Source organism: Homo sapiens, chromosome X (assembly GCF_000001405.40).
Source record: "Homo sapiens chromosome X, GRCh38.p14 Primary Assembly".
Classification (NCBI taxonomy): domain Eukaryota; kingdom Metazoa; phylum Chordata; class Mammalia; order Primates; family Hominidae; genus Homo; species Homo sapiens.
Genome location: NC_000023.11, coordinates 34,152,905 through 34,165,240, shown reverse-complemented (window position 1 = coordinate 34,165,240; position 12,336 = coordinate 34,152,905). Strand labels below are relative to the sequence as shown.

General features: G+C 40.5%; 1 annotated feature.

The window, feature by feature from the left end:
• Positions 7,304–7,804: an enhancer, noted in NCBI's record as "H3K4me1 hESC enhancer chrX:34175554-34176054 (GRCh37/hg19 assembly coordinates)". NCBI's record gives its function as "activates a minimal SCP1, AML or CMV promoter by ChIP-STARR-seq in primed H9 embryonic stem cells {active_cell/tissue: H9 hESC(primed)}" and the evidence as "EXISTENCE:reporter gene assay evidence [ECO:0000049][PMID:30033119]".

Here is a 12,336-nt window from a genome sequence, read left to right as displayed (position 1 = left end):
TGATGCTAATAACACTTTGGATAACCTCCTGACTTACTTCCTAGACCTTATTAGCTCTAGCAATCTCCACTTTTCTCCTTCTACTCATTATTAAGTTTCCACTTCTCTGACAGCAGAGCACCACCACCCAAATTTCAGAGTGAATATTTCCACCTTTCCATGTTTCTCACTCTTTGTGAACTTGTTCTTCACCTCCTTTGTTCTGTCTAGTCTATTAATCTTCATTACAATCCTATACACATGTACCTTCTATCCTGTATGAACCCCAAAATAGACAGTTTCAATATCTCTTCCTTGGTCTCCCAGATTTGCTCACCCCTTTCACCTACATTGTGAATTGCCTCTTCTTGGGTAAGCACAGAATTTAGTTGTCTCTGACAGAAAACAAAAGCCTTAGATTCATTTTTATAGAAAGTATTGGTAACCATGTGGATGTATCCTGTCACAAATTCATCCTTTCTAACTTCATTGGCTAACAGTAACATAATAACTGAATGATGACTAACATTATACAGTTGGCATTTCAACTGTATGATGTTTAGAACTAGAAAAAAGAAAAGCAAACTTTGGGAGAATGTAGCAAAAAGAAAAAAAAAACATGTTTCCTTGTACTCTCCTAGAGTCCTCTGGAGGAGTGAAGGAATTGAAAAGCTTTTCTCAAAATGTGAGTTTCAGATTGGTAGCAACATGTTAATTATACTCTGTTACTAATCACAGAATGTTGGATTGAAAAATCCATGTTCACTCATGTGCTGTTTATTTTTTATTAAGTATTATATTGACTGGTTAAAATATGTTTGATCTACTAGCCATCTAAAATAACCCCTTCTTATTTACATTTAATCTTTCTATCTTTATTGTATATCTCTAACGAAGTTCTTAAAAGGATCCCAGCAGCTTACTCCTGCTCAATCAAAGCCACAGTTCACCTTTTTAAGACCTGTGCAATTACTTTAGTACAAAGCAGAAGACGACATGCATTGGCTCTATGTTCAAATTAACTGCCCTTTTTAGACAAATCCCCCAAATCCTTGACTTTTCAGACTTTCGGTCATCTCAATCTGTGTTATTGGCACTTAACTGATTGAACCTGTTGTAGTTGTATCTCACTGGACTGAGATTTCTGTTAAATCAGCCTTCTAGGATCTCTCCCCTACTAACTTCTCACAACAGATCATGTCACATTGTCATAATCATAGGGCTTAGAAATTTCCGATTTACTCATTACCATATAGAACAATGGTTAAGTGTCCACGATCTCAGGTTAGATGGCATGTATTTAAATTCAAGCTCGAAGGGACAGATGTCAGCAAATAGGACTGTCTAGCACTTGTGCCCCTACGAAAGCACCAATAGGAACAATTATCATGTACAAATATATCTTCAGAAATGACAGGTGATAGATTATAGCGCCTTAGTATATCAAAGAAATAAGAAAAGTCACATTGATGAGAGTAGGAATAATAGCTTCACGTTACCCTCATTACCTCTCTACCAACTTGAGGTAGCACAGTATGGAAAGAGATACCCTCCATATGGGGGAAGGGGAAGGAAGTAAGCAATGGTCCTAGCTTTGGACCCCAACACTGAGAATTCCCCAGTAAAACCCAGTGCTAGGCAGAACCCCAGGGCCCCAGACTCTACACAGGTGCCTGTGTCTGAGCCTCCAGCCACCTCAGCTCGAGGCCAGATCCTGTAGCTTCAGGTTCTAGGCATACTAGATGGAGTCTGTCTCAGAGCCACCCCACTGCCAGCCTGAACCCAGTGGCCCCAGGCTCTGGACTATTCTCAGCACTGAGGTGGCCCTCATGGCCCCATGCTTCAGACCTGCCCTAGCACCAAGTCAGCAGCCCAACTTCAAATACAAGGTAGACACTCAGAGACATAGATTCCATGCCTTCCCAGTGCCAGGCTGGTCTCTGTGGCCCAACCCTCCAGACTGGCACCTGTGGCACTATGTTCTAGCAACCCAGGGATTAGGCCTGATCCAGCAGACCCAGCATCCAGGCCGGTCCCAGTAGATCACAATTCTGGACTGGCATGTGTGTACCCAGGTCCCTGGCCATCCCCCACAGGGCAAGCCTTCACAGACCTAGCCTCTAGGCTAGCACCTGCACAAGTCTCCAGACCAGCATCAGTGGACATAGGATCCAGGCTAACACCCACAGTCATACTCTCCAGGGCAGCCCCCATAGACACAGGCTCCATGCCAGCCCCAGCATCAGGTCATACCCAGGCTCCAGAAGACACAGGTCTAGGCCTGTTCCAGCAAACCCGAGGTCAGAACCACTCCAGGAAACTGCTTTGTCAGGTTGAATCCTATGAACTGAGACTGCATGAACACCCCTGAAAACCTAGACTCCAGTCTAGCCCTTATGGACTCAAGACCCACATGTACTATTGCAGACTTAGGGTACAGACACACCCCACTGCCAGGCCAGCAGTTGAGGACTAAAGTTAAGGGTTCACCCCCATGTCATATCAGCCCCTGTGGGCCCAGACTTCAGGCCAGCCTCCACACATACTGGGTTTTGGGCCATTCTCATGCTCTCAGGCTTTAGTCCCATCTCTACAGATGCAATTAACAGGTCCACCCCAATGAATCCAGGATTCAGGACCAACACTGCAGACCCAGGTGCCAGGCCTTCCCACCTGCTGACCAAGGCAGCAGGCCAGGCTGCACAATGACTCCAGCAGCAAGCCTACCTCCAGACATGCAGGCAGCTTGCTCAGAATCTCTGGATGGGCCGACTGGCAGAGGGCTGTCCCAGACAAAGCCAGTTTATAAAGACTAAAATAATTGCCCATGTTTTCGAAAGAGCAGGCATCAATGTAAGGAGAAAAGAAAAAGATGTACAAAGCTCATTTAAAGATATAATAGCAGAAAATTCTCCAAATTTGGAGAAATATATAAATATCCCACTAAAGAAAGACCAAAGGTTTCCAAACAGGTTCAATGTAAACAAGACGACACAAAGAAATATTATAATCAAACTGTCAAAAATCAAAGGAAAGAATCATGAAAGCAGCAAGGGAAAAGGACATAACATATAAGGAAGTTCAAGGTTAGCAGCAGATTTATAAGCAGAAAACTTATAGGCCAGGAGAGAGTGAGATGATACATTAAAAGTGCTAAATAAAAAAAAAAAAAACTGCCAACCAAGAAAACTGTATCTGTCAAAGATGTCCTCCAGAATGAAGGAGAAATGAAGAATTAACCAGACAAACAGAAACTGAGAGAGTTCATCACAATCAGGCCATTATTACAAGAAATGCTAAAGGGACTTCTACACACTGAAAGAACCTGATGCAAATTAGTAACACAAAAAAGCATGAAAATATAAAACTCACTGGAAAAAGAAAGTAGATGGTCAAATTTAATATACCATTATAATACTATAATGGTGGCATATAAATGACCACCATTATTCTTTAGTATGAAAGTTAAAAAATGAAACTATTAAAAATAAAAATAGCTATTATAATTTGTTAAGGGATACTATATCAGACAGGGTTCTCTGGAAGGACAGAACTAATAGGATATATATATATATATATATATATATATATATATATATATATATATATATATATATATGAAAGGGAGTTTATTAAGGAGACTTGACTCACACGATCACAAGGTGAAGTACCACAATAGGCCATCTGCAAGTTCAGGAGCAAGGAAGCCCGTAATGGCTCTGTCTGAGTCCCAAAACCTCTAAAGTAGAGAAGCCAACAATACAGCCTTCATTCTGTGGTTGAAGGCCCAAGAACCCCTGCAAACCACCAGTGTATGTCCAAGGGTCCAAAAGCCAAATAACATGGGTCTGATGCTTGAGGGCAGGAAGCATTCAGTATGAGAGAAAGATGAAGACCAGAAGATTCAGCAATTCAGGTTCTTCCACCTCCTTCTGCCTGCTTTTTCTAGCCATGCTGACAGCAGGTTGAATGGTGCCAACCCACATTGTGGGTGGGTCTTCCTGGGGAGGAGGGCAGACTTCCTCTCCCAGTCCACTGCCTCAAATGTTAATCTCTTCTGGCAACACCCATAAACACCCAGATACACCCAGAAACAATACTTCGTATCCTTCAACTCAATCAAGTTGACACTTAATATTAATCATCACAGATACACAATATACAAAGATATAAATTGTGATATCAAACTTCAAAAAATTTTTTATTATTATACTTCAAGTTCTGGGGTACATGTACAGAACATGCAGGTTTGTTACATAGGTATCCATGTGCCATGATAGTTTGCTGCACCAATCAACACGTCATCTACATTAGGTATTTCTCCTAATGCTATCCCTCCCCTAGCCCCCGACCCCCCAACAGGCCCAGGTGTGAGATGTTCCCCTCCCTGTGTCCATGTGTTCTCATTGTTCAAGTCCCACTTATGAGTGAGAACATGCAGTGTTTGGTTTTCTGTTCCTGTGTCAGTTGGCTGAGAATGATGGTTTCCAGCTTCCTCCATGTCCCTGCAAAGGACATGAACTCATCATTTTTATGGCTGCACAGTATTCCATGGTGTGTATGTGCCACATTTTCTTTATCCAGTCTATCATTGATGGGCATTTGGTTTGGTTCCGAGTCTTTGTTATTGTGAATAGTGCCACAATAAACATATATATGCATGTGTCTTTATAGTAGAACGATTTATAATCCTTTGAGTATATACCCAGTAATGGGATTGCTGGGTCAAATGGTATTTCTGGTTCTAGATCCTTGAGGAATCGCCACACTGTATTCCAAAATGGTTGAACTAATTTACACTCCCACCGAGAGTCAAGACCCATCGATGTGCTGTATTCAGGAGACCCACCTCATGTGCAAAGACACACATAGGCTCAAAATAAAGGGATGGAGGAATATTTACCAAGCAAATGGAAAGCAAAAGAAAAGCAGGGGTTGCAATCCTAGTCTCTGATAAAACAGACTTTAAACCAAAAAAGATGAAAAGACACAAAGATGGGCTTTACAAAATGGTAAAGGGATCAATGCAACAAGAAGAGCTAACTATCCTAAATATATATGCACCCAATACAGGAGCACTCAGATTCATAAAGCAAGTTTTTAGAGACCTACAAAGAGATTTAGACTCCCACACGATAATAGCAGGAGAGTTTAACACCCTACTGTCAATATTAGACAGATCAATGAGACAGAAAATTAACAAGGACATTCAGGGCTTGAACTCAGCTCTGGACCAAGAGGACCTAATTGACATCTACAGAACTCTCCACCTCAAATCCACATAATATACATTCTTCTCAGCACCACATTGCACTTATTCTAAAATTGACCACCTAATTGGAAGTAAAACACTCCTCAGCAAATGCAAAATAACATAAACCATAACATACAGTTTCTCAGACCACAGTGCAATCAAATTAGAACTCAGGATTAAGAAACTCACTCAAAACCGCACAACTACATGGAAACTAAAAAACCTGCTCCTGAATGACTACTGGGTAAATAACGAAATTAAGGCAGAAATAAAGAAGTTTTTTGAAACCAATGAGAACAAAGACACAACGTACCAGAATCTCTGGGACACATTTAAAGCAGTGTCTAGAGAGAAGTTTATAGCACTAAATGCCCACATGAGAATGCAGGAAAGATGTGAAATCGACACCCTAACATCACAATTAAAAGAACTAGAGAAAAAAGAGCAAATTCACAAGCTAGAAGAAGACAAGAAATAACTAAGATCAGAGCAGAATTGAAGGAGATAGAGAAATGAAACACCCTTCAAAAAATCAGTGAATCCAGGAGCTGTTCTTTGAAAAGATCAACAAAATAGATAGACCTCTAGCCAGACTAATAAAGGAGAAAACAGAGAAAAACCAAATAGATGCAATAAAAAGTGATAAAGGGGATATCACTACCGATCCCACAGAAATACAAACTACCATCAGAGAATACTATAAACACCTCTATGCAAATAAACTAGAAACTCTAGAAGAAATGGATAAATTCCTGGACACACACACCCTCCCAAGTCTAAACCAGGAAGAAGTCGAATCCCTTAATAGACCAATAACAAGTTCTGAAATTGAGGCAGTAATTAATAACCTACCAACCAAAAAAAGTCCAGGACCAGACGGATTCACAGCTGAATTCTACCAGAGGTACAAAGAGGAGCTGATACCAATCCTTCTGAAACTATTCCAAAGAATAGAAAAAGAGGGAATCCTCCCTAATTCATTTCATGAGGCCAGCATCATCCTGATACCAAAACCTGGCAGAGACACAACAAAAACAGAAAATTTCAGGCCACTATCCCTGATGAACATCGATGCCAAAATCCTCAATAAAATACTGGCAAACTGAATCCTCAGCACATCAAAAAACTTACCCAGCACAATCAAGTCGGCTTCATCCCTGGGATGCAAGGCTGGTTAAACTTACACAAATTAATAAATGTAATCCATCACATAAGCAGAACCAATGACAAAAACCACATGATTATCTCAATAGATGCAGAAAAGGCTTTCAGTAAAATTCAATACCGCTTCATGCTAAAAACACTCAATAAACTAGGTGTTGATGGAACATATCTCAAAATAATAAGAGCTATTTATAGCAAACATTTTTAATGTGTGAGAAAGTAAAAGTGTAAAGTTTTTGTATGCAATTAAAGTTAAGTTGTTATCAGATTAAAATATCCTTTTTTAGCAGGGAGCAACTCACTCTCACCAAGAGCCTCTGCAATCCTGACAGAAGGATAAATTATGACCACCATGGACACTTGAGTTGGCAGAGAGAGCTGCTTAGAGAAGGGGCGGGGCGGAACTCCAGCCAGTGTGAGCCCAGAGGGTTTGTTGCGGGAATGTCTGTAATGGAGTATAGGCAGGGACACCCATTTCCCTAGGCTCAACTTGCTGCCATAGGAGACTTTAGTCCTAGGGGAACTGACAGATCTCAACTCCACACGGTGGCCATGCTCATGAGATGGGGCTGGTCTGACTTGAGCACCCCTCAGTCTGCTGGCCTCTCCCAGGAGTCCTAGCCAGGCCATACCTGCTTGCTGTGCAGTCTCAGGTGCCCAGGGGAGGAGGACCTCCTGGGGTCCCACATCATAGCTCCTGTGCTGGTAGAATGCACCTCACAGACAGAGAGCTCCAACAGAGCAGCACCTGAGGACACACACCAGCCAGTCAGCACTTCCTGCACTGCAGCCTCCCCTGTGGCAATTTGCCTGTATGCACTTGCCCACAACCACCCCCAAATATCTTTGCCAGTGCACGTGTGTCCAAAAGGACCTGGCCTTCCCTTCCCTGCAAGCACATGTGTGCATGTGCACTCCGCTGTGCCACTGCTGCCAGTGTTAGTGCATTCTGCTCCCCACCCCCACTGCACTGTTATCGCTGTAGGAGCATTCTTGGGCATGGAATCCACCAGCCTCACCCTCGCCAGCACCTAACCCCTGTGCCAACACTGCCACTAGTGTAAAACTAGGCATGGAGACCAGCGGACCCACCCTCACCCTGAGCAACCACAGCCACAGCCACCCGTGTGATAGTGAACAGAGGGCGCACACAGCCCTGAGCCCACCAGAACCCTGCCCTCATGCTAACACCACCACAGGCGCAAATGCTCACACAGACACTAGTAGGGGGCACCACGCCCTGCTGTGCCATGCTAACACCAACCACTACTGTGAAAATCTGCACAGAGGCCAGTATCCTGCTGCACTGTCACTGGCATGAGCAAACAAAAACTGGTACTGCTGCCACCTCCCTACTAAGTGCTTTGGGTGGCACTACCCATTGGAGTGTTGTGACCAGCAGCCTGGGAGCACCTCAGCCCCTCTAGCACAGCTTCCCAACTTTGAGGGGCCAGAGAAGAAATCCAGGATTGGTAACATTCACCCAGGGTTAGGGCATGCAGCCCAGGATTCCTGAGTTGAGCCTCACCCCACAACTAAAATCTTTCGGAAATAAAGCCAGTTGACTGAACCCACATTATACCACTACCAAACTCCCAAGGGAATCAAATAGGATAAAGGAATAGAACAAAAACAAAAGGACAGCAACTTTAAAGACTGAAGGAACATCAGTCCACAAAGATGAGAAAGTACCAGTACAAGAACTCTAACAACTCGAAAAGTCAGAGTGCCTTCTATTCTCCAAACAACAACACTAGTTCTATAGGAAGGGTTCTTAACTGAGCTGAGATGCCTGAAATGACAGAAGTATAATTCAAATTATATACTGGACCAAATGGACCTGAGAGAGGTTTATGAAGATCTCCACCCCAAAACAACGAATATACATTATTCTCATTGCTACATGGTACATGCTCTAAAATCAACCACACAATCAGAGATAAAGCAATCCTCAGCAAATAAAAAAGAACTGAAATCATACCAAACACTCTCTTGGATGACAAACAATAAAAATAGAAATCCAGACTGAGAAAATTGCTGAAAACCTTACAATTAAATGGAAATTCAACAAGCATCTCATGAAACACTTTTGGGTAAATAATGAAATTAGGGCAGAAATTAAGAAGTTCTGTGAAACGAATGAGAACAAAGACACAACATAGCAGAATCTCTGAGACACAGCTAAGGCAGTGCTACGAAGGAAATATATTGCACTAAACACCCACATTAAAACATTAGAAAGATCTCAAATTAACAACCTAACATTACAACTGAAAGGAACAAGAGCAAAACAACCCCAAAGCTAGCAGAAGACAAGAAATAACCAGAATCAGAGCTGAACTGAAGGAGATTGAGAGACAGAAAACCATTAAAAAGATCAAAGAAGCCAGGAGCTGAATATTTGAAAAAAAATATGATAGGCTGCTACCTAGATTAATAAAGAAAAGATAGAAAATCCAAATAAACATGATTAGAAAAGACAAAAAGGATGTTACCACTGACTCCATAGAAATATGTTAATACAAATCATCATCAGATACTAGTTAGAACACCTCTATGTACACAAACTAGAAAATCTAGAAGAAATACACTCTCCCAAGACTGAACCAAGAAGAAATTGAATCCCTGAACACACCAAAAATGAGCAACAAGATTGAATCACTAATAAATATCCTACCAACCCCACAAAGCCCAGGACCAGATGGATTCATAGCCAATTCTACCAGATGTATGATGAAGAGATTGTACCATTCTTATGGAAACTATTCTGAAAAACTGAGTGGAAGGAATTCCTCCCCAACTCATTCTATGAGACCAGCATCATCGTGATACCAAAACCTGGCAGAGACACAATAAAGAAAGAAAACTTCAGGCCAATATCCTTGATGAACTTTTATGCTAAATCCTCAACAAAATACCGCAAACCAAACACAGCCGCACATCAAAAAGCACCACCATGATCAAGCAGGCTTTATCCCTGGGATTCAAGATTGTTACAACATATGTAAATCAATAAATGTGATTTATCACCTAAATAGAACAAAAGACAAAAAACATGTGATCATCTTAATAGAGGCAGAAAGGGCTTTCAACAAAATTCAAAATGTCTTCATGTTAAAGACTCTCAGAGAACTAGGCATTCAAGGAACAAACCTCAAAATAATAAGAGCCATCTATGACAAAACCATAGCCAACATCAGACTGAATGGTCAAAAGCTGGAAGCATTATCCTTGAGAACTGGCACAAGACAAGAATGCCCTCTCTCATCACTCTTATTCAATTGTAGTATTATAAGTTCTGTCCAGAGCAATCAGGCAAGAGAAAGAAATAAAAGTCATCCAAATAGGAAGACAGGAAGTCAAACTATCCCAGTTTAGAGATGACATGATTCTATATGTAAAAACCCCTTAGCCTTGGACCAAAAGTTCCTTAAGCTGATAAACAACTTCAGCAAAGTTTCAGGATACAAAATCAATGTACATAAATTACTAGCATTCCTACACACCAACAATAGCCAAGCTCAGAGCCAAATCAGGAATAAAATCCAATTCACAATTCCACAAAAAGAATAAAATACCTACAAATACAGCAAACAGTGGATGTGAAAGATCTCCACTCTGTGAATTACAAAACACTGCTCAAAGATATCAGGGGTGACAAAACCATGGAAAAACATTTGATGCTCATGGATAGGAAGAATAAATATTGTTAAAATGGCCATACTGCCCAAAGCAATTTACAGAATCTATGTTATTCCTAAAAGTACATTTATAAAACTATAAAAAAAATTTTAAAGTTCATATGGAACCACAAAAGAGCCCAATTAGCCAAAGCAATCCTAAGCAAAAGAAACAAAGCTGGAAATATCATGTTACCTTACTTCAAACTATACTCCAGGGCTACAGTAACTAAAAGAACATGGTACTGGTACAAACACAGACACACAGAACAAAGGAACAGAATAGAGAGCCCAGAAATAATGCTGCAAACCTACATACATCTGATCTTCCACAAAGCAGACAAAACAAACAATGAGGAAACAACACCCTATTTAATAAATGGTGCTGGGATAACGGGCTAGACCTATGCCGATGATTGACACTGGACCCGTTCCTTATGCTATATAAAAAAGAAATAATGCTGCAAACTTACATACATCTGATCTTCCACAAAGCAGACGAAACAAACAATGAGGAAAAACACCCTATTTAATAAACGGTGCTGGGATAACTGGCTAACAATATGCAGATGATTGACACTGAACCCATTCCTCACACACACACACACACACACACACACACACACACACACACACAAAATTCCTTACACTGTACACTATACTAAAAAACCCACAAGATGGATTAAAGACTTAAAGGAAATCCCCAAACTATAAAAACCCTGCAAGACAACCTATGCAATACCAGTCTGGAATTAGAAACTGGCAAAGATGTCATGATAAAGACACCAATACCAATTGCAACAAAAACAAATACTGATAAATCAGATCTTATTAGACTAAAGAGTTTCTTCACAGCAAAGGAAACTCTCAATAGAATAAACAGGCAACCTACGGAATACAAGAAAATATTTGCAAACTATGCATCTGGCAAAAGTGTAATATCTAGCATCTGCAAGGAACTTAAGCAAATTTACAAGAAAAAAATTAAACAACCCCATTAAAAATGGGCAAAGGACAAGAACAGACACTTTTCAAAAGAAGACATAAATGCAGCCAACAAGTACATACAAAGGAGCTCAATATCACTGATCATTACAGAAATGCAAATCAAAGCCATAATGAGATACTACCTCACACCGGTCAGAATGGCTATTACTAGAAAGTCAAAAAGTAACAGATGCTGGTGAAATTGTGGAGAAAAGGGAATGCTTATACACTGTTAGTGAGAGCATAAATGAGTTCAACCATTGTGGAAAGTAGTGTGGCGCTTCCTCAAAGAGCTGAAGACTGAACTACCATTCAACCCAGCTATCCCATTACTGGGTATATACCCAAAGGAATATAAATCGTTCTAACGTAAAGATGCATGCACGTAAATGTTGACTGCAGAACTATCTACAATAGGAAAGACATGGAATCAACCTAAATGTCTATCAACGGATGACTAGATAAAGAAAATATGCTAAATATACATCATGGTATACTATGCAGCCATAAAAAAGAATGAGATAATGTCCTTTGAAGGAACATGGATGGAGCTTGAGGCCATTATACTTTCACTTAGTGAGGGCTAAAGGATGAGAACACATGGACACCAAGAGGGGCACAACAAACACTGGGACCTACTTGAAGGCAGAGTGTGGGAAGAGGGAGAAGATCAGAAAAAATAACTACTGGGTACTAGTCTTAGTACTTTGGTGATGAAATAATCTGTACAACAAACTCCCATGACACAAGTTTGCCTATATAACAAACTTGCACATGTACCCCTGTACTTATAATAAAACTTTTTTTAATGTAGCCTTTTAAAACTATAAGATGTTTCTTGTAAGCCTTGTGGTAACCACAAAGCAAAGACAGCAATAGAGGAAGAAAAGAATGAAGTGTCTACAAATCAGCCAGAAAACAATAAACAAATGACAACAGTAAGTCCTCACATACTGATAATTACCTTGATTGTAAATGAGATTAAATTCTCCAATCAAAAGGCATAGAGTGGCTGAATGGCCAACAAAAATTACCGAGTCACACACTGCCTACAAGATACTAACTTCTCTTGTAAGGACTCACATAGAATAAAAGTGAAGGGATGGAAAAATATATTCATGTAAATAAAAACCAAAAGACAAAAACAGCTACATATATGTATAAAAAAATAGTTTTAAGTAAAAAACTCCCTCCAGAGAGAAAGAAGGTCATTCGTGATAAAGGGGTAAATTCATCAAGGGGCTATACCAATTGTAAATGTATATGCACCCA